This window comes from Homo sapiens, chromosome 7 (genome assembly GCF_000001405.40).
Source record: "Homo sapiens chromosome 7, GRCh38.p14 Primary Assembly".
NCBI classification, from domain to species: Eukaryota; Metazoa; Chordata; class Mammalia; order Primates; family Hominidae; genus Homo; species Homo sapiens.
The window spans coordinates 152,413,561-152,436,641 of NC_000007.14; the positions used below are offsets into that span (position 1 = coordinate 152,413,561).

The following is a 23,081-nucleotide window of genomic DNA, read 5'->3' on the forward strand; positions in this document are numbered from 1 at the left end:
TTCCATCTCAGGATTTTTGTTCTCTTTAAAATTACAAAAACTGGCCGGGCATGGTGGCTCACGCCTGTAATCCCAGCACTTTGGGAGGCCGAGGCAGGTGGATCACCTGAGGTCAGGAGTTCGAGACCAGCCTAGCCAACATAGCAAAACCCCATCTATACTAAAAATACAAAAATTAGCCAGGTGTGGTGGCGGGCGCCTGTAATCCCAGCTACTTGGGAGGCTGAGGCAGGAAAATCGCTTGAACCCAGGAGGCGGAGGTTGCAGTGAGCCGAGATCGCACCACTGCACTCCAGTCCGGGTGACAAGAGCAAAACTCCGTCTCAAAAAAAAAAAAAAATTTACAAAAGTCATTTAGAAAATGTATGAGGCCAGACGCGATGGCTCATGCCTGTAATCCCAACTCTCTGGGAGGCCAAGGCGGGCGGACCACTAGGTCAGAAATTCGAGACCAGCCTGACCAACATGGTGAAACCCTGTCTCTACTAAAAATACAAAATTTAGCTGGGCGTGGTGTCGCACGCCTGTGATCCCAGCTACTCAGGAGACTGAGGCAGGAGAATTGCTTGAACCCAGGAGGCAGAGGTTGCAGTGAGCTAATACTGTGCCACTGCACTCCAGCCTGGGCGACATAGTGAGACTCTGTTTCAAAAAAAAAAAAAAATGCATATGAAACACAAAAAGCTGGGTGTGGTGGCTGGCTCACACCTGTAATCCCAGCATTTTGGGAGGCCAAGGGGGTGCGGATCACCTGAGGTCAGGAGTTCGAGACCAGCCTGACCAACATGGAGAAACCCCATCTCTACTAAAAATACAAATTAGCCGGGCATGGTGGCGCATGCATGTAATCCCAGCTACTCAGGAGGCTGAGGCAGGAGTATCGTTTGAACCTGGGAGGCGAAGGTTGCCATGAGCCGAGATTGTGCCATCACACTCCAGCCTGGGCAACAAGCACGAAACTCTGTCTCAAAAAAAGAAAGAAACACACAGAGTTGCCAATGTGAAAACTACTCAATAAGATTTAATAAAAATACTGTATTTGGAAAAAATCTTTTTTTTTTTTTAGCTGGGATTACAGGCGCCCGGCATCATGCCTGGCTCATTTTTGTATTTTTAGTAGGGAAGAGGTTTCACCATGTTGGTCAGGCCGATCTCAAATTCTAGACCTCAGGTGATCCACCCACCTCAGCATCCCAAAGTGCTGGGATTACAGGCGTGAGCCACTGCACCTGGCCTTAACTATTTTTCATTAAGGTAATGAAATAAGTTAACTTCTCAATACTTTCTTTCTTTTTTTTTTTCTTTTTGAGACAGGGTCTTGCTCTGCTACCAGGCTAGAGTGCAGTGGCATGATCACAGCTCACTACAGCCTCAATCTCCAAGGCTCAAGCGATCCTCCCTCCTCAGTCTCCCAAACAGCTGAGGCAACAGGTGCATACCACATGCAGCTAATTTTTTATTTTTTTGTAGAGACAGGATCTCACCATTTTGCCCAGACTGATTTTGAAATCCTGAGCTCAAGCTATCAGCCTGCCTCAGCCTCAAGTGCTGGGATTACAGGTGATGGCATCCGGCCTTCAATATTTTCTGGATGAAAGAGAGGACTTATTACTAGTCCTAGATTATTATGAAAAACAGCAATATCATGATTAAAATTTTGTTCCTCCTCCCAGTACTGTGTTCTATTAATTAGATAGGAAATAGGAATGAACAAAAATAGACATTAAATCAAATGATTTTACTTTCTAAAAGTCAAAAATTCTAATGCTTTGTTTACCTATCTACAAATATTTATCTTACTACTTCTATAAATAATTGAATAAAATCTTAAATGAACTAAAAGAAATAATGGGACTTTTCACTACACAAAAGATAATTACCTATACAATGAAATGAGGTGAAATTCTTAGAGCAAATATGTCATACAACAAGCTTAAATTAATGATACGAAACAGTTAGAATGCCCCCACCCCAATAAACCATGGACAAAACACGACTGGGCAATTCGCAAGAAATACAAGTAATAAAATTCAAAAAAAGGCTGACGCGGTGGCTCATGCCTGTAATCCCAACGCTTTGGGAGGCCGAGGCGGGTGGATCATGAGATCAGGTGCTCGAGACCAGCCTGGCCAACATAGTGAAAACCCATTTCTACTAAAAATACAAAAAAATAGCTGGGCGTGGTGGTGGATGCCTGTAATCCCAGCTACTTGGGAGGCTGAGGCAGGAGAACTGCTTGAACCTGGGACGCGAAGGTTGCAGTAAGCCAAGATCGTGCCACGGCACTCCAGCCTGGGCAACAGTGTAAGACTCAGGTCTCAAAGAAAAAAGAAAAAGAAATTCAAAATATTCATTAGTCCTACTAATCAAGTAAGTAAAAGCTTAGAACTACTTTTTTTCTGTTGTTAAGATAAAGATTTTAATATATCATACATGACAAAGGTTTGATAAAACTAGACCTATCACACATTGCTAATGACATTACAAATTGATGCAACCTTTTTAGGGAGTGGCATTTCAAAACTTTAATAAAAATAAGAGATCAGGGCTGGGCATGGTGGCTTATGCCTGTAATCCAAGCATTCTGGGAGGCCAAGGCAGGGGAGATCACTTGAGGTCAGGAGTTCAAGACCAGCCTGGCCAACATGGCGAAACCCTGTATTTTTAGTATTCTACTAAAAATACAAAAATTAGTCAGGCGTAGGCCAGGCGCGATGGCTCACACCTGTAATCCCAGCACTTTGGGAGGCCGAGGCGGGCAGATCACGAGGTTAGGAGATCGAGACCATCCTAGCTAACACGGTGAAACCCCATCTCTATTAAAACTACAAAAAATTAGCCGGGCATGGTGGCAGGCACCTGTAGTCCCAGCTACTCGGGAGGGAGGCTGAGGCAGGAGAATGGCGTGAACCCAGGAGGCGGAGTTTGCAGTGAGCCGAGATCACGCCATTACACTCCAGCCTGGGCGACAGAGCAAGACTCATCTCAAAAAAAAACAAACAACAACAACAAAAAATTAGCCAGGCATGGTAGCGCGCCTGTAATCCCAGCTACTTGGGAGGCTAAGACAGGAGAACCGCTTGATCTCAGGAGGCGGAGGTTGCAGTAAGCGGAGATCATGCCACTGCACTCCAGCCTGGGTGACAGAACAAGACTCTGTATCAAAAAAAAAAAAAAAATTCAATGTAATTTAAAAAAATAAGAGATCAAGCCGGGCACGGTGGCTCACACCTGTAATCCCAGGACTTTGGGAGGCTAAAGCAGGCAGGTCACTTGAGACAGGAGTTCAAGACTAGCCTGGCCAACATGGTAAACCTTGTCTCTACTAAAATCAAAAAATTAGCCAGGCATGGTGGCACACGCCTGTAATCCCAGCTATTCAGGGCGCTGACACATGAGAATCCCTTGAACCTGGGAGGCAGAGGTTGTGGAGAGCCGAGATGGCACCACTGCACTCTAGCCTGGGTGACACAGTGAGACATCATCTCAAAAAAAAAAAAAAAAAAAAGAGTTTATATTTATCTCAAAAAAAGAGTTTATATTTATTGCTTGCTAAGGCATCAAATATAAGAAGGAAAAAATTTTAAAAAGTTCGTATTTACTAAGAACTTACTAAGTAATAGGCACAGCTCACTGCAACCACTTCCTCCCAGGTTCAAGCGACTCTCCTGCCACAGCCTCCCAAGTAGCTGGGATTACAGGTGCCCACCACCATGTCTGGCTAATTTTTGTATTTTTACTAGAGATGGGTTTCACCATGTTGGTCAGGCTGGTCTCGAACTCCTGACCTCAGGTGATCCATCCACCTCGGCCTCCCAAAGTGCTAGAATTACAGGCATGAGCCACTGCACCTGGCCTCTAGCGGCTTTCTTAACACATATACCCTCTTTAAATCTTTTAATAATCCTGTGACAAAGATGTTATTATCATCCCTATTTTATAGGTAACAAACAGATACAGATTGAACAGCTTATACAAAGTCCAACAACTAGAAAGTGATAAGACCAGAATTTGACAATAAGCAAATAGACATTAGAGCCTATATGCTTCTGAATATCTATGAAGAATCAAAAAATGCTTTTTTGTTGTTGTTGTTGTTGAGACGGAGTCTTGCTCTGTCGCCCAGGCTGGAGTGTAGTGGCATGATCTCGGCTCACTGCAAGCTCCGCCTCCTGGGTTCACGCCATCCTCCTGCTTCAACCTCCTGAGTAGCTGGGACTAGAGGCGCCTGCCACCACACCCAGCTAATTTTTTGTATCTTTTAGTAGAGACGGGGTTTCACCACGTTAGCCAGGATGGTCTCAATCTCTTCACCTCGTCATCCACCCACCTCGGCCTCCCAAAGTGCTGGGATTACAGGCATGAGCCACCGCGCCCACCCTCTTTCTTTTAAAAAAAAAAAAAAAAAAAAAGATGGAGTCTCACTCTGTCACCTAGGCTGGAGTGAAGTGGCACAATCTCGGCTCACTGCAACCTTTGCCTCGATACTCCTTCCTTAGCTTCCCAAGTAGCTGGGACTACAGGTGTGCGCCACCACGCCCAGCTAATTTTTGTATCTTAGTAGAGATGGGGATTCACCATGTTGGCCAGGCTGGTGTCAAACTCCTGACCTCAGATGATCCACCCACCTCAGCCTCCCAAAGTGCTGGGATTACAGGCGTGAGCCACCATGCCCGGCCAAATGCTTATTTTTTAACCTAATTATCCTGCCTATGGTAATCTGTCCTATAAAAATAACCAAAATATGAAAAAGGCTTTATCTACAAAAAGGTCAGCCAGAGCATTACACATAGTAACAAAAGGCAGTAGGGTGAGAAGAGGAAAAGGGGAGACAGCTGTATGGTTACATAAATTATAGTGTGGTTACTCAGTTTTTTGTTGTTGTTTTGAGACAGAGTCTCGCTCTGTCGCCCAGGCTGGAGTGCAATGGTGTGGTCTTGGCTCACTGCAACCTCCACCTCCCGGATTCCAGCGATTCTCCTGCCTCAGCCTCCTGAGCAGCTGAAGACTACAGGCGCATGCCACCACACCTGGCTAATTTTTGTATTTTTAGTACAGAGGGGGTTTCACTATGTTGGCCAGGCTGGTCTCGAACTCCTGACCTTGTGATATGCCTGCCTCAGCCTCCCAAAGGGCTGGGATTACAGTCGTGAGCGACAGCACTCAGCCCTCAGTTTTACTCAATGGAAAATTAAGCACCCTTCAAAAATGTTATAAAAGATTAACAATACGGAAATTTTCTTTTACATGTTACAAGGGAAAGTAGGTTACAAAACTCTAAATGTACATAAGTAGTATCACAAAAAAAAAAAAACTGTGTATATGAAAAAAGTTTGAAAGAGAATAGGTCAGGCTGGGTGTGGTAGCTGATGTCTATAATTTCGGCACTTTGAAAGGCCAAGGTGGGAGGATCACTTGAGCCTAGGAGTTTGAGACCAGCCTGGGTGACATAGTGAGACGACTGTCCCTACATAAAAAGATTTGTTTTTCATTTAAAAGAAAAAAAATAGACTGGGCATGGTGGCTCATGTCTGTAATCCCAGCATTTTGGGAGGCCAAGGCAGGTGGATCACAAGGTCAGGAGTTTGAGACCAGCCTGGCCAACATGGTGGAAGCCCATCTCTACTAAAAATACAAAAAATTAGCCGGGCATGGTGGCAGACGCCTGTAATCCCAGCTACTCAGGAGGCTGAGGCAGGAGAATCACTTGAACTCGGGAGGCGGAGATTGCAGTGAGCCGAGATCATGCCACTGGGCTCCAGCCTGGGCAACAGAGCGAGACTCTGTCTCCAAAAAAAAAAGTGGGGGAAAGAAAACATTTACATTTATAACAACATCAAAAACAATGAAATACTTAGGAATCAATTTAACAAAAAAAGTACAAGACCTGTGCATTGAAAATTATAAAATACTACAAACAAATTAAAGGAGATCAGAAATTATACTTCATTTGATACTTAATCACATGCAAAAAATCATTAGTTCCAGTTTTACAGTTGTTGCCGGTTATTTTTCTAACACAGATACAATGTCATACCTCTGTTTAACATCTTCAATGGCTCCCTATTGTTTACAGTTAATATTCAAAATGCCCAATTTACTTTCCCTTCCTCATTTCCTCCCATATTGGACTGTAGTCTCTTAAAAAGCAAAGGTCAGGGTCAGACACACCTGGATTCAAATCCTGACTCAATCACTTACAAGCTATATAAAAATTCATCTTTCATTTGTAAAACGTACTAATGATTCAACCCCATGTGATCAGTAATTATCAAAAAGGTAACTTCTGGTAAGCACTAGTAGTGCCTAACACATAATAGCCAGGTACTAGTTTCTCACTCCCCTTTTTCTCTTCGGTAAAGTCTGTTTTCATTTTTAAACACTCAACAAAGATGTCTTCTTTCTTCAGTTCCTCTGAGATAAGTTCTTCCTTCTCTAAGCTTCCTCAGCACTTTCTGAAATCTATTGTAAAATGTGTCATTTGCATTATACTTTGCACTGAGTTACCAGAAATTGAAGGTAGGGATCTTGCCTTATTTTGGTCTCTCCACTGTATAATACACAGCAGATTCTCAGTATTTGATTTTGCCTAACATCCTCCTTGGGTGATTAACAGAGAACAAATAGGAAAAGCAAATCTGACTAAGAATAAACCATGCTTCAGAAATGTACTTTGAAAGGAAGAGATTTTAAGTCACCTATAATCTAACACCCACACCGATCTGTGATGAACACATAGCATGAGCAAGAAATGAACCTTTGTGACTGATGCCACTAAGAATTGGGATCCTTTGTCACCGTAACATATTCTGTATATTCTGATATACACATTAAAGGAGTTTAGTATTTATCTGCATCATCCCTATCTCCAGTGTTTGGAATGTTCTGCACAAAGCGGGAACTTCTGCACAGCAAAAGAGATTATCAACAGAGTAAACAGACAACCTACAGAACGGGAGAAAATATCTGCAAACTATGCATTCAACAAAGGCCTGGCCTGGCTCAGTGGCTCACACCTGTAATCCCAGAACTTTGGGAGGCCGAGGTGGGTGGATCACAAGGTCAGGAGATCGAGACCATTCTGGCCAACATGGTGAAACCCCATCTCTACTAAAAATACAAAAATTAGCTGGGTGCGGTGGTGCACGCCTGTAGTCCCAGCTACTCGGGAAGCTGAGGCAGGAGAATTGCTTGAACCCGGGAGGCACAGGTTGCAGTGAGCTGAGATCGCACCACTGCACTCCAGACTGTAACAGAAAGAGACTCCATCTCAAAAAAAAAAAGGCCTAATATACAGAATCTGTAAGGAACTTAAATCAACAAGCAAAAAACTAGCATTAGGAGATATACTTAATGTAAATGACAAGTTAATGGGTGCAGCACACCAACATGGCACCTTGTATACATATGTAACAAACCTGCAAGTTGTGCACATGTACCCTAGAATTTAAAGTATAATAAAAAAATAGTTTATAATAAAAAAAAAACAAGCAAAAAACAACCCCATTTAAAAATGGGCAAAGGGCATGAACAGACACTTCTCAAAAGAAGACATATGTGGCCAACAAGCATATGAAAAAATGCTCAACATCACTTATCATTAGAGAAATGCAAATCAAAACCACAATGAGATACCATCTCACACAAGTCAGAATGGCTATGATTAAAAAGTCACACACAAAAAAAACATGTTGGCAAGGTTGTAGAGAAAAGGGAAGGCTTATACACTGCTAGTGGGAATGTTAATTAGTTCAGCCACTGTCAAAAGCACTTTGGGGATTTCTCAAAGAACTGAGAACTACCATTCAATCCAGGTATCCCATTACTGGATATATACCCAAATTAATAGAAATCGTTCTACCATAAAGACACACATACACATATGTTCATCACAGGACTTTGCACAACAGCAAAGACATGGAATCAACCTAACTGCCCATCAACAGCGGACTGGATAAAGAAAACATGGTACATATACGAGACAGAATACTGTGCAGCCATAAAAAAAGAATGAAATGATCCTTTGCAACAGCATGGATGCAGTTGGAGGCCATTATTCGTAAGCGAATTAATTAACAGAAAGCCAAATACTGTGTGTTCTAACTTCCAAGTGGGAGCTAAACACTAAGTACATGTGGACACAGAGGGGACCAAGAGACACCAAGGCTTACTCGAGGGTGGAGGCTGGGAGGAAGTTGAGGATCCAAAAACTACCTACTGGGTACTATGCTCACTATCTGAGTGACAAAATGATTTGTGCTCTAAGCCTCAGCGACACGCAATGTGCCCATGTTAACAAATCTGTGCATGTAACCCCTGAACCTAAAATAAAAGCTGGAAGGAAAAAAAACAAGTGGGAACTCAGGTTTATTAGAAAACTTTAAAATATGGAATGAATGTAGGACATTTTTAAAGAGAATAGTCAAAGGTTAGCAGAATAACCAAATGTTTTCAATGAAAAGATTACAAAAGTTGAAGTAACCACATTTTTAAAAAGCACAGCGTTAGCATATAAATGGGAGCATGCTTTTACTCTCCTCTTCACCCAAAATACATACTTCTACTACTTCCTCACCATGCTGAGGTCAAAAACTGGAGGCTTAGGGCTGGGCGCAGTGGCTCACACCTGTAATCCCAGCACTTTGGGAGGACAAGGCAAGTGGATCACCTGAGGTCAGTATTTCGAGACCAGCCTGGCCAACACGGCAAAACCCAGTCTCTACTAAAAAAAAAAAAAAAAAAAAATTAGCCAGGCGTGGTGGCAGATGCCTGTAATCACAGCTACTAGGGAGGCTGAGGCACGAGAATCGCTTGAACCCAGGAGGCGGAGGTTGCAGTGAGCCAAGATCGCATCACTGCACTCCAGCCACGCGACAGAGCAAGACTCTGTCTCAAAAAGAAAAAAAAAGAAAACCCTGGGGGCTCAGGATTCAACAAAGCATTGTTGAAAGCAGTCACTACCAATCAACCGGGCCTCAACATGAAATTATCTGCCATCGCAAGAACTTCAGTATCATAATTCTCACACATGAGAAAATTAGGCCTATGGTGATAAACCAATTGCTCAAAGTGGTAAAGACTATTTACTAGCTATTTCTGTAATATTTATTCCCACCATCAGTAACCAGACTTTGAACCTATTCTAAGTAGCAAGGTACTCATCTAAAAAAACTACATTCCCAACCAGGCGCAGTGGCTCACGCCTGTAATCTCAGCACTTTGGAAGGCCAAGGCAGGCAGATCACGAGGTCAGGAGATCAAGATCAACCTGGCTAACACGGTGAAACCCCGTCTCTAATAAAAATACAAAAAATTAGCCAGGCATGGTGGCCTGTAGTCCCAGCTACTCAGGAGGTGGAGGCAGGAGAATGGCATGAACCCGGGAGGCGGAGCTTACAGTGAGCCAAGATCACACCAATGCACTCCAGCCTGGGCAACAGAGCGAGACTCTCATCTCAAAAAAAAAAAAAGAAAAAAAGAAAAAAAAACTACATTCCCAGCCGGGTGCGGTGGCTCACGCCTGTAATTCCAAAACTTTGGGAGGCCAAAGCAGGTGGATCACCAGAGGTCAGGAGTTCGTACCAACCTGACCAACATGGTGAAACCCTGTCTCTACTAAAAATACAAAAATTAGCCAGGCTTGGTGGTGCATGCCTGTAATCCCAGCTACTTGGGAGGCTAAGGCAGGAGAATCGCTTGAACTCGGGAGGCGGAGGTTGCAGTGAGCCAAAATCATGTCATTGCACTCCAGCCTGCATGACAGAGCGAGACTCTGTCTCAGAAAACAAACAAACTACATTCCCAGCCTCCCTTGCAGCTACAGGTAGCCATGTGAACTCTGTGATAGTTCTAGCCAATTATATGTAAGAGAAAACATACAATATTTCTTCAAAGGAGGAGGCTGTGTGCCCTTGGACTCCTTTCTGTATTTTGCTTCATGGGACATGCATGTAATGTAATTGGGACTTTAGTAGCCATCAAGGAATCTTAGGGCAAAGGCCACAACCTAGAAATGTCTGAGAAGTTAGATAAAGGGAGACACTCCTGATGACTTTGCAGTGTAGAGGGACAATACCAGCCTCAGTACCTACCCTCCAGATTTTGAAGTGAAACAGAAATAAACACTCCTGTTCAAGTCATTATTATTACGGGGTTTTCAATCACATAAAGACAAACCTAGTCCTTACTGATATACCCGGCTGTTAAGAATTGGCCCAGAAATAGAAATCAGTTCTTCTGTCAAGAGTCCAGGATGCTCAAATATATAAAGATCTCTGTACAAGTCAACAAAAATAAATAAATAAATAAACTATATCCTTTTTAGGGTTGATATTCATAATTGTTTTATCTTTCTATTCTGTATGACCTAACTATAGCCCAATCTACACTGTGACAATTCCATTTTTAAATACTATTTAAAGTCCTCAATAATAAAAATCTGTATTTCAAAATACTTTAGAAAAATAAAGGGTAAGGTTAAGGAGAAACTTCATTTAACTATTTCAGTAAAAGAGGATGGAAAATAATGATTTTTATCACTCGTATCCCAAATGCATTTTTTTTTTCTGAGACCGGGTATTGTTCTGTCACCCAGGCTGGGTGGGGTGCAGTTGCAGGATCATAGCTCACTGCAGCCTCCAACTCCTCTGCTCAAGTGATCCTCCCACCTCAACCTCCTAAGTAGCTGGGACTAAAGGCATGTACTACCACACCCAGCTCCAAATACTCTTTGTTCTTAGCGTCCCTTAATTCAGAAAACTATCTGCTTCCAGCAAAACAGATTAAAACAACCAGCATTTTACTTATTTATGATTTCGTAACCTGGACTGAGCTTAGCTAGGTGGTTCCTCTGTTAATCTTTTTTTTGTGTGTGAGAGAGAGAAACAAGGTTTCACTCTGTCGCCCAGGCTTGAGTGCAATGGCAAGATAATGGTTCACTGCAGCCTCACCCTCCTGGGCTTGACCAATCCTCCCACCTCAGCCTCCTAAGTAGCTAGGACTACAGAGACATGCCACCACACTCAGCTAATTTCTGTATTTTTTTGTAGAGACAGTGTCTTGCTATATTGCCCGGGCTGGTCTTGAACTCCTGGGCTCAAGTGTTCCACATGCCTTGGCCTCCCAGAGTGCTGGGACTGCACAGTCATAAGCCCCCACGCCGGCCCCTTCGCTAATCTTACTAATCACTTTTGTGTCTGTATTCAACAGGCAAGTCAACTAAGGGCTGAAGGCAGCTAGGACACTGAGATAGTTAAGCCTCCCTCTTTCCATATAGTCCTGGAATCTCTTCCTCTCCACATCATCTCTCCAGCAAGGTATGACAGCTTCTTGCACGGCAGCAACTCAGAGCTCCCAAGAGTACAAAAGTAGAAGCTGCCTGACATGCTCAAGGCTTGTACCCAAAAATAGCAAAGTGTCATTTTTGCTATGTTCTACTGGTTAAAGTGAGTCACAGGGCTAGGCGAGATACAAAGAGAGATGACTATACAATAGCATGAATACCCATAGGCATGATTTACTATGGGTCTACACCAATACAGTAGACTACCATCTCCTTTATTTACTGTAAAAGTAACACCTTAATATATGACTTCTAGTATTCCATAATCTCTCTGGGGCTCAGTTATCTATAAAATGAGGGGTTAGACTCAATCTTCTTGAATTCTCATCTATTAATAGTTCTAATATTCTACAACTCTATAAGTATGAAAGTCTAATATAAGAAACACTTAGGGCCAGGCACAGTGGCTCACACCAGTAATCCCTGCACTTTGGAAGGCCAAGGTGGGTGGATCACCTGAGGTCAGAAGTTCGAGACCAGCCTGGCCAACATGGTGAAACCCCATCTCCATTAAAAATAGAAAAATTAGCCAGGCGTGGTGGAGGGGCGCCTGTACTCTCAGCTACTCCGGGGTCTGAGGAAGGAGAATCGCTGGAACCAGGGAGGCATAGGTTGCAGTAAGCCGAGATCGTGCCACTGCACTCCAGCCAGGGTGACAAGAGCGAAACTCCGTCTCAAAAACAAACAAACACTTGGCCATACTGACCAAACACTTCAACTATGGTAGAACAATTCAATGAGAACTTTAAGAATATGGTTATGTTTCATTTTGTCATTTTATATTCAACTATGTGCTTATTCCAAATGTGGTCCATATGACTAGAATCCCAAAGATCAGGAAATCAAGGAAATTCTTTTTTTGCTAGGCTCCACTAAAAGAACACCACCACACAGACTTCACTGAGACCATCAAGTATGCTGCTTCTAATGTAAATCGATTACAATAAGGTGTAAAGATTTAAAGTGACCAAGGATAAAAGATGTAAGAAATCATTTTAAAACCACCTAAAACAAGTCTCACTGAGGGAGGCCTACTAATAAAACCCTAGCCAGTAGAGTTATAATATGTAAAAATCTACTCTAACAACATTTAAAAGTTTGAGCAATAAAAAACTTTGGAATAATATTACTACATATACAACTCCTAGGGAATTGCTTTGACTGTTTTTCGTGTATTGCTCATAATGAAAAACATTTCATAGAGATTTCTGCTGACCTAGCTTTTTAAAAATCTTTCTTCTATATATTGGGGACATCTGCGTACAAAGAAAATCTTTGCCACCCCACTATCCCCGCCTCCAATAACAACTGCATTATTTTATGTCATAGTTTTTTTTTTTTTTTTTTTTTTTGGGAGATAGGGTCTCGCTCTGTCACCCAGGCTGGAGTGCAGTGGCATGATCACAGCTCACTGTAGCCTCCAACTCCTGGGCTCAAGCAATCCTCCCATCTCAGCCTCCCAAGTAACTGGAGCTACAAGTGCATACCACCGCATCCAGCTATTTTTAATTTTTTGTAGAGATGGGGATCTCACTATGTTGCCCAGGCTGGTCTCTAACGCCTAGACTTAAGCAATCCTCCCACCTTTGCTTCCCAAAGCACTGGGATTACAGGTGTGAGCCAACATACCCAGCCTTATATCATGGCATTTTTGGAGTGAGTTTGGTTTCTAATCACTTCTGTCTCTAAATAGTTTATAACAGGCAACTGATTGATAATTGATGATTAGTGGCAATGACAGTAACAACAGTAGTTAAATCCTTACAACAGCACCTCTTAATAGGACTTAGTCTATGCCAGAAACTGTTCTAAATTCTACACATATATATAAATTCATAACAATCCTAAATTAGGTGTATTATTACGTCCTCTCTACAGGTGAGGCAACCATAGCACAAAAAATTTAAGTAACTTGCCCAAGGTCAAACAGCTAATATGTAGTACAACCTAGACTTGAATCCAGAAGGTCTAGGCTCTATAATCAGTGATGCCCCCAGAATTTGGTTTTCTCATTTGTCAAATGATTTACCATTTCTGAAGTATTAAGCTTTTTTCTTTTTTTAAATGCATAAATGTATACTGAAAGAATATACTCCCCAGAGTTTTTTTTTGTTTTGTTTTGTTTTGTTTTTGAGACAGAGTCTCACTCTGTCGCCCAGGCTGGAGTGCAATGGCACGATTTCAGCTCACTGCAAACTCTGCCACCCAGGTTCAAGCAATTCTCCTGCCTCAGCCTCCCGAGTAGCTGGGATTACAGGCGCCTGCCACCATGACTGGCTAATTTTTGTAGTTTTAGTAGAGACGGGGTTTCACCATCTTGGCCAGGCTGGTCTTGAACTCCTGACCTCGTGACTCACCCTCCTGGCCTCCCAAAGTGCTGGGATTACAGGCGTTAGCCACTGCGCCCGGCCCCCAGAGTATTAATATTTATTATGTATTCTTCCCAATCTTTTTATATGCACAAAATATACACACAGTTTGGGTTTATGTGCTTTTCACAAAATAAAGTTACTGCTAAACTTACTGCTTTACAACTTTTGGAAAGGTTTTTCTCTAGTTCAACAATGTATCATAGACATTCTCCCACTTCAGGGCCCACAGATCTATCTCTATGTCTTGATTTAAAACTGCATGGTAGTCCATTGATGCATATTTTGTTGTTGCCAACTTTTCTCTACTACTAATACTGCTGCCATGAGCATCTTGTATGTATATGTTGTCCATTTGTCATGAGAATATATTCTGATTTCCTTTCTTGTTTTTCCGGGTATAACTGGTCCCCTATCTCCTAAGGGCAACAAAGCATCCTAATCCTTTACTAATTCCCATACGCCATATTCTCAGTGATTACATGTTAAGTCACATCTTTAAATACTTATCCTAATCGATTCCTCAACTCCAGTCCTACTTCCCCGAATGCTTAGCAGGCATCCAATCTATTTGGATGCCTGCTACAACATCTATGCCAGAAACTGCCGAATTCCTCCTTTGCAGTGACTGGAATCTTCCTCCCCATTCGCACTACCAACATTCTATGCTTTGGCTTGATCTCTCACACTACAACTATTGTAACAGCCTATTATCTCTGCCTCCAGGTAACTCCTGTCTCCATATTATTACCACAGTGTTTTTTTAATAATAGGCATCATTAAATCACCAAGTATTTGAGTGCCTACATTCAAATGCATAAATGCTAAACAGAATACAAAGTAATTTAGTAAGGTTCCTATCCTCAAGAATACTGTAAATACCTGCTTTGAAAACTTTCATTTAAAAAATAAAATAACTGGGCATAAAGCAGAGATTGAGACCTGTAGTCCCCTGGTGGTCCGCAGATTAAACCTAGCCTACAAAGTATAGGCGCAAATACCGTTTTAGATTCTAATTAATGAAAAACACTTAAAATCCAAGTTTAAAAATCATAAAAAGGGCTGGGTGCGGTGGCTCATGCCTGTAATCCCATCATTTTGGGAGGCTGAGGCAGGTGGATCACCTGAGGTCAGGAGTTCGAGACCAGCCTGGCCAACATGGTGAAACCCCGTCTCTACTAAAAATACAAAAAAAAAAAAAAAAAAAAAAACTAGCCGGGCATGGTGGTGGGTGCCTGTAATCCTGGCTACTCAGGAGGCTAAGGAAGGAGAATCACTTGTACCCGGGAGGCAGAGGTTGCAGTGAGCCGAGATCACACCATTGCACTCTAGCCTGGGCAACAAGAGTAAAACTCCATCTCAAAAAAGAAAAAAAAAAATCATAAAAATCCAAATTTCCGCCCTCTTGAAAAATCTAGAAACAGCATCTCAAATAGCAACCATCAGCCAGAATTCTGTATCAGTTTCACCTTAAGCAGGGCATAAGGACTCCTAGACTTCCCCAAGGCTGTTATTATTTCCCATTTTCTCCCCAACCCAAGGTCTAAAGTGTCAGTTGTCATTCAGATTCTTAGAAGCAGCCTACTGTTCATTTAAATTGCTTACCTGCTCCCTGTAAACAGTTTATAACTCCTGGACTACAGGATAAAGCCCAAACTCATGAGTCTGGCATTCAAGAACTATCACAGCTTGGCCTCACCACTACACACAGCCTCTGTTCTAGTCACACAGTCAGAAGCCACCCCACCTTTTACACCTCCTTCCCTCAATAATTTCATTCACATTGCTCCCTCACACACTCATTTTCTTGTCATTCTACTTGGCTAAATCCCACCAATCCTTCAAGGTCTAATTCAAATACTACTTCCTCCAAATCTTTGAGCACCCCTCTAGGCCACAATAAATCTTCCAGGGTTGACTGTTCATCCCAGGACATATTTAGCACTTTGTAGCTCTTTAAATAACATGTACCAAATGAAAGATCTAAAAAGTTACATAGAAGTATAGAAAACTTAAGACTTGTTAAACAATTTTACACTTGTAGATCATATGTAGTTACTGCCATCACAAAATTAACAGCAGAAACAAAGTGAAACAATTTTCCTTTTACCTGAGGCTTTTTCTAGAATATTACAAAGTGCAAAAAGAGCTGTGTCATTTGTTTCTCTCAACTTGTGCTCTTAAGTCCTTCAAATTCTGCAAATAAAGGGATCAACACTTCCAATTATAAATCCAAGATTGGTCTATTACTTTTTTTTTTTTCTTTTTGAGACAGAGTCTCACTCTGTCGCCCAGGCTGGTGTGCAATAGCATGATCTCAGCTCACTGCAACCTCTGCCTCCTGGGTTCAAGCGATTCTCCTGCCTCAGCCTCCCGAGTCACTGGGACTATAGGTGCCTGCCACCACGCCCAGCTAATTTTTGTATTTTTGGTAGAGACGGGGTTTCACCATATTGGCCAGGCTGGTCTCCCACTCCTGACCTTGTGATCCGCCCACCTCAGCCTCCCAAAGTGCTGGGATTACAGGTGTGAGCCACCGTGCCCAGCCTTTCTATTACATTTTCACAGATAACCACCAGCATATATCTACAAGCAATAGCTATAATAAAAAAAGAAATAATCTCAGCCGGGCGTGGTGGCTCACGTCTGTAATCCCAGCACTTTGGGAGTGCCGAGGCAGGCAGATCACCTGAGGTCAGGAGTCTGAGACCAGCCTGGCCAACATGGTGAACACCCATCTCTACTAAAAACACAAAAATTAGCTGGGTGTGGTGGCATGCGCCTGTAATCCCAGCTTTTTGGGAGGCTGAGTCAGGCGAATCGCTTGAATCCGGAGGGCGGCAGCCACAGTGAGCCAGGATCACGCCACTGCACTCCAGCCTAGGCAAGAGAGTGAGACTGTCTCAAAAAAAAGAAAAAAAAAAAAAAACAGAAATCATCTCTATTCTACTTCGTAACTTTTGCCACTTATCCTGCCAACAAGTTCTCAAAATAACCACTGTAGCACAAACATGATAAAGAAAATTTTTAAAGAGAAAAGGAAGAGATTAATCAGCTTTCTGAAATTAAAAGATAAAAATGGACCAAAACAATATAGAAAAAAAAAAGTAAAGGCAAACACAAACTCACACGCTGACTGTAAAGTTTATTCCATGGCAGCTAAAAGTTGTTTGGCCCAAACATCTCACAGATTAAAAACTAAATCACAACCTAACGAGGGTATCTAACACGTCCCCACCAGGCAAGAGTGCAGAGAGACCATCTAATGTTCCTATTTATTTAGAGAGTCTTGCTCTGTCACCTGACTAGAGTGTAGTGGTGTGATGTCCGTTCACTGCAGCCTCAACCTCCAAGCCTCACACAATCTTCTCTCAGCTCAGTCTCCAGAGTAGTTGGGACTACAGGTGCCTACCACCACACCCAGCTAATTTTTTTGTAGAGACAAGGCCTCACTTTGTTGCCCAGGCTGGTCTCAAACTCCTTTTAAATGAGGATTAAGTGATCCTCCTGACTCAGTCTCCCAAAAGTGCTGGGATTACATATATCAGCCACCACACCCATCCTTAATGTCCTTTATAACTGGAAACTGACCAATTTTCACCTTGGAAGGTCAATGAAGTTTCACGAAGCCCCTCCATCATAAACTTAAAGTGACTTAAGTTTACAGAGTTGGACAACCACTATCTACCCAGAGAAACCTGACTGTGGTCTGGGAAACTTTGCAGTTTTGCGGAACAGAGGAATGAGATGAAGCAGTGTGGCTTGTCACTTGGCAGATTAACAACAATTCTGGCATTATGGAATTAACTGAAATAGTACGAAAATGTAATAAATCACAAGTGTCAGAATGGGAAAACAAATTGTTGTGATACTTTTATATTTCCATGGAAATCCATGTTTATCAAGTTTACATATTAGTAACCAATATGTAAATTGGTAAGTTTACATATTAGTAACTAATATGTAAATTTATATATTAGTAAACAATATATAAATTTGTATAATAGACTAAAAATAACATCTTCTCAAATATTAGAAATTCCCTGGGCCAGGTGCGGTGTTTCATGTCTGTAATCCCAGCACTTTGGGAGGCCCAGGCAGGCAGATCATGAGGTCAAGAGATTGAGACCATCCTGGCTAACAGGGTGAAACCCCGTCTCTACTAAAAATACAAAAATTAGTCAGGCATGGTAGTACGTGCCTGCAGTCCCAGCTACTCCAGCTACTTGGGAGGCTGAGACAGGAGAATCACTTGAACCTGGGAGGCGGAAGTTGCAGCGAGCCAAGATCGCACCACTGCACTCCAGCCTGGGCGGCAGAGCAAGACTCTGTCAAAAAAAAAAAAAAAGAAAAAAAACAGGTTCTTATTCATGGGAATTTCAGGTCAGGTTAAACAACAACCTCCTAACAGGTAAGAGAGGGTAGCAATCCTGAGTCAACTTTTCAACTGAATTAAAACATTTCAGTGCCTATTGAGTCCCAGAGACCAATAATATCAAAAATTTTATCAGATCTCTTGGACAATAAATTATTAAGAATTGCTGTCATAAAAATTACAAATTTGCATTATCTCAAAAAGCATGAATAATAGTGCTGTCTCTCAACTATAAACTTGTTTTATTAAATGGTATATATTGTAATGCAGTACAGTTTTCTATCACTTATTTCAAATTCACAGCTATGAAAAGGAGAAATTTTGTTGGGGGAAGGGCGTTACAAATACAGAGTAGCAACCTAGCCATTTTTGCTGGTCCTTGTAATGACAATCACTGGTTGTGCCTAATTTTTCTACAACAATAATGCTTAAGGTGGCTCTCTAATAATAGCAATTGCCCTCTGAAAAGAAAGTGGTTCAGGGTATAAAGAGTTTACTCAAAAAAGGCCAAGGATAGTGCTTCAGAAATCCTATACCTACCACCTGCTGCTTCTGTACAACCACCCCCATCCCCCACACCCACACCCATTTCTAACATCAACTTTCATGAACTGGTAAGAAACATAGTAGAGTAGAATGTTTCTTTGGCTTCCCAACTTGGTAATGTGAATTTACAGTGTAAGGATGGAAAAAATAAGAAAAAAGCTTCAGAAAAATTTTTTAACATTAACACAAAAATAATGAGATCTTTAATATGTGCATATTCTGACAGAGGCCTGCCAATGGTTAAGACCTGTGCCTCTGATAAAGATGATGAACTACTCCAAATTATCAAATAATTTGATACTTTTTACAGTTAAGGAAAACTTTCAAATGAATGTAAATTTCACTGTGCCACTTGACATTTGTACAATAGGAAACCTCTATGTATTTACTTTTCCAACTCTAAGATTAATAGCTTCAGTTCAAGTTTCTTGATTTTAGGTAGTAAAATTTTAAGATATTTATAGTTAATGTAAAAGCAGTAACTATATAGCTATGCTTTTTATTCATGACAAAATACACAAAAACAATCTAGCTAACACTATAAGACAAGAAAATGCTTTATTTACCTAATTATTAAAAATTTAAACTTGAGGAAAGTGTAATTGGTGGTGCATGTTTTTTTAAGCCAAAGATAAATACATAAATCCACTTCATTGTCAAAAGGCATCTTCTCAGCGGGGTGCGGTGGCTCACGCCTGTAATCCTGGCACTTTGGGAGGCTGAGGAGAGTGGATTACCTGAGGTCGGGGGTTCAAGACCAGCCTGGCCAACATGGTGAAACCCTGTGTCTACTAAAAATACAAAAAATTAGCTAGGTGCGATGGCGCACACCTGTAATCCCAGCTACTCTGGAGGCTGAGGAAGGAGAATCGCTTGAATACACGAGGCAGAGGTTGCGGTGAGCCGAGATCATACCACTGCACTACAGCCTGGGCTACAGAGCAAGACTTCGTCCAGAAAAAAAAAAAAAAGGCATCTTCTCTACTTAATGTAACTCACTAAGTTAATGAACATCTAAGTAACATTAGCAACTTAAAATATCTCTATGAGATTTAGCAAAGAAGATTAATTTTCATTTCTCAGGTGAATTATTTGCAATTTCACATAATTTCACTGGTTACAAACCTAATTTACACTGGTTACACATAAGTTTCACTTTCAGGGTCTTTACTGTCCAACTACAGGGTCTTTTCTGCATGGATTCTTATACAGTATAGAGATACACAATTCAAAAACCTCTTTGCTTTCCAATTCATATGTTAGTTTCCATTTACATGTTGCTAAAAACAACTGGAGATTCCATTCCCTTCAAAAGACACAATTTCAAAAAAAACGCTCTAAAAAGTTTAGACCCGTCAAATTTACCAGTAGACTTTAATTTCCTATAAAGAAAGCAGTACTAGTTTTCAAATCTAAAAGAAAAAGCTCTCTACAGACTTACATTTGTTCTAAATATTTCCAAAAGTTTTGATTTTTCATAGTTAGATTATACTGTTATTCAGCAGAAATTTTTTATCTTCTCCAAAGGCTGCCTATTTCTTCATGAGATTCAGAATTAAAATAATAAAGTGGCAATACCCTAATCGTCCAGTGCACTCAGGAGCTGCACTAATACAAATGAGCTCATTTCAAAAGTAGGGTGTGTGCGAGTGTGCGCGTGCGTGTGAGTGTGCGCGTGTGCGCGTGCACAAGCACGCCCTTACAGGAGTATGGGGTGTGGGGTGTGACAACATAGATCTAATCTTTCTGGAGTAAGAATTCAAATGCAAATTTAAAACAATACTTGCAAATTAATGTTCAGTAAGAGATGAAGAAATGCTTTGCAAATAGTGAAATGGGAGGCAATCAAGGTAAAACCCCAATATGGCTTGTCCTGAGTTGCTTTAAAGGATGCAAAAAAAAGTGGCTTACATGTCTAAAAATTACTTAAACCTCCACTTCCTTCTACAAATTTCAGTTAATACAGAATAAGGGCATTTTATACTTGCCACTGTATTACAACGCAAGTGGCATAATAAATAAGTCCTAACTTTGTATCACGAACAAGCTAATGTAATAATGTACACACATCCTGTACTTGCTTCCCTCACGATTATCATAGCTAGGTAACAGCTGGCAATAAAATATGGAGGCAAGTTGAAGGCCCTGAATCATTTTCATAGTAAAAGGACAGCGGGGCAAGAAAAGAGCACATTCAAGTCAAGAGCTCAATGGGTTCCCACAACCCAGCTCTGCTATGCCTCAGTTCACGCTACTATTTTTACTACAAATCACCAAACAACAATACTATTACTAAGTGAATGCACCCGAACCAAAGAAACAGCCTATCCATAAACGTGCTGGCTTCCTTCACGTCCCAGCGCACCCTTCCACTCCCGACAGTTCAATGAGAATATCATCTCACGAAATGAGTAAGCACACACGCCATTCTACAACTTCGAGAGACATTCACAGTTCTTCCACGGCACACGCGAGAGCCACAGAAGCCGAGCAGTTCGCTGGCACTAAAACGGTGTCTTAATTTACAAGCAAAGCCGTCAAATAACCGTTCTGTAAGAAGACATTTCTGGTCCTCTAATAAGCTGGGGTCCAGCCCTACTGTACGCTCAAAGGCAGGCGACCCTATTCCCAAGCCCCTTACAGCTAAGACTTACGAGGGAAGCGACATTTACATCTGCACTCTCTCCGAATAAGTGCTCTTGGTATTCTGCCTTACGAGGGGACGCTGGCTACGTCTCCAAAACTTAGGCAGGCCGTTCCCCGAAGCTGGGGGATCCCACAGGACTTGTGCTTTCGGAGCCCGGGAGTGCGGTGCTGGGTGTTGGGGGAGGGGGGAGGAAGAAGTCAAATGGCTTCCTAATATATCATCAAAAGAAGAAAACACAGGTTTGGGACCAGGAAAAGTTCCAGGAGCAAGTCGCTGACAAACAAAAGCTGCACTCGCCCGGCCGCTTTCTTCTCGCCCCCAGCCCGCGCCCCGAGACCACCTGGCCCGGGCGTTTTGACAGCTCCGAGAGTTTCCCGAGCGCCGACGGCTCGGCGGTTCGCCCGGAGTCCGTCCGGGGACTACCTGGGCGCGCTCCGGGCTTGTTTTCTCAATGATCCAGCTAGGCCAAGACGCGGCTACGAGAAATTTCTCCAAAAGAAGAGTCGCGGAGAAGACCCAGTGAAAAGGCCCGACTGAAAAGTAAAGTGTGCGGAGCCGGGCGCCGGCGGGAGCCCGGGCGGGCGGCGCGGAGCGGGGGAGGCCGGGCGCGGGCGGCTACCGAGGGGCGCGGGGCCGGGGCCGGGAGCCGCCACCGCCCGCGGGCCCGCCCCGCCCCCACCCCGCCGGGGGGCGCCGGGGCGCGGAGGCCGCGGGGCGGGCGCCCGGTGACAGCTCCGGCCCGGCGCCGCCGCTGGCTCCCGGCCTGGCTCCCTCGCACTCAACTTACTTCTTTCTGGCTCTCTGGAAAGGGGAAGCGCCATCTTTGCGAGGCCGGCCCCGAGGTCTTTTGTCTGCGGCTGCGGGGCTCGGGGCCGGGGCTCCAGGCTCCTCGGGGGGTGGTGGCGGCGGCTGCGGCTGCTCCACGCTCTTGTCCTCCTCCGACGACATCCTAGTCACCAGGAAAGACACATGGATCCCGGTCCTCCTCCTGGGGGGCTCCCGCCGCCGCGGCCGCCGCCGCCGCCGCTGCTGCTCGGGTTCCTCCTCCCCGGCTCAGCCTCTCGCATTTCCCGCAGCCCCGGGAGCAGCAGCAGGTACCGGGAGAGGCGGCAACATGGAGCGAGCAGGACACGCACTCACACACATCGGCGCGGGCGCGCGCACCTCCGCGCGCAGGGGCCGGGCGGGGGGCGGCGGGCGGGGCGGGCGGTGCGGGGCGGGCGGGGCCGGCGGGTGCGGGCGGGCGGGGCAGCCGGGCGGGCGGGCGGCGTGAGGGGCGCCGGCCCCCGGGGTCTCCGCCCGCGGCCCCTCCCCCGAGCCGCCCGCGGCAGGAGGAGAAAGGGGCCCGGCGCGGGGAGGGCCGGCCGCGGGGCCCGGCGGGGGCGGCGAGGGGGTCGCGCCCCCGGCCGGCCGCCCCTCCCCCGCGCGTCAGGCCCGTCAGGCCCGGGCGGCGGCGGCGGCGAAGTTTTGACAGCTGCTCCAGTGGCGGCGCTGGGCGCCGGGCCGCGGCTCGCTCCTCACACTCGCTCTCTCACACACGCTCGCTCGCTCTCCCGGAGCAGGGGAGGAGGAAGTTTTGCGGGTGTGCTTGGACCCCACACACACGCCGCGCGACCGTGGCCGTCGCGCGAGGCCCGCGCCGGGGATCCCCCGGGGCGACCCGCACCACAGACCTCTCCAACTCGCAGCCGTCGCGCCCACACACCGCCGCCTCGACGGCCCCCGCCCGCTCCCCCACACTCGGCCCCTCGCCCGCCCCCCGCGCGCCGCCGCTGCCACTCACGGGCCTCGCTCCGCGCATGC

The 23,081-nt window shown here is 44.1% G+C and overlaps 1 protein-coding gene across 1 annotated transcript in view, besides 7 other annotated features; it reads right to left on the reverse strand.

Moving 5' to 3' along the window:
• KMT2C (lysine methyltransferase 2C) overlaps positions 1-22,443 on the reverse strand; it is a 301,079-nt gene extending 278,636 nt beyond the window's left edge. The window contains exon 1 of the mRNA NM_170606.3: positions 22,066-22,443. Coding sequence (NP_733751.2) covers positions 22,066-22,226 — 161 coding nt within the window. The 5' untranslated portion in view covers positions 22,227-22,443. The remainder of the gene's footprint in view (positions 1-22,065) is intronic.
• Positions 20,510-20,559: an enhancer, noted in NCBI's record as "active region_26878". NCBI's record gives its function as "activates an Ori minimal core promoter by ATAC-STARR-seq in GM12878 lymphoblastoid cells {active_cell/tissue: GM12878}" and the evidence as "EXISTENCE:reporter gene assay evidence [ECO:0000049][PMID:35858748]".
• Positions 20,870-20,939: an enhancer, noted in NCBI's record as "active region_26879". NCBI's record gives its function as "activates an Ori minimal core promoter by ATAC-STARR-seq in GM12878 lymphoblastoid cells {active_cell/tissue: GM12878}" and the evidence as "EXISTENCE:reporter gene assay evidence [ECO:0000049][PMID:35858748]".
• Positions 21,410-21,459: an enhancer, noted in NCBI's record as "active region_26880". NCBI's record gives its function as "activates an Ori minimal core promoter by ATAC-STARR-seq in GM12878 lymphoblastoid cells {active_cell/tissue: GM12878}" and the evidence as "EXISTENCE:reporter gene assay evidence [ECO:0000049][PMID:35858748]".
• Positions 21,500-21,729: an enhancer, noted in NCBI's record as "active region_26881". NCBI's record gives its function as "activates an Ori minimal core promoter by ATAC-STARR-seq in GM12878 lymphoblastoid cells {active_cell/tissue: GM12878}" and the evidence as "EXISTENCE:reporter gene assay evidence [ECO:0000049][PMID:35858748]".
• Positions 22,210-22,269: a silencer, noted in NCBI's record as "silent region_18830". NCBI's record gives its function as "represses an Ori minimal core promoter by ATAC-STARR-seq in GM12878 lymphoblastoid cells {active_cell/tissue: GM12878}" and the evidence as "EXISTENCE:reporter gene assay evidence [ECO:0000049][PMID:35858748]".
• Positions 22,650-22,699: a silencer, noted in NCBI's record as "silent region_18831". NCBI's record gives its function as "represses an Ori minimal core promoter by ATAC-STARR-seq in GM12878 lymphoblastoid cells {active_cell/tissue: GM12878}" and the evidence as "EXISTENCE:reporter gene assay evidence [ECO:0000049][PMID:35858748]".
• Positions 22,790-23,079: a silencer, noted in NCBI's record as "silent region_18832". NCBI's record gives its function as "represses an Ori minimal core promoter by ATAC-STARR-seq in GM12878 lymphoblastoid cells {active_cell/tissue: GM12878}" and the evidence as "EXISTENCE:reporter gene assay evidence [ECO:0000049][PMID:35858748]".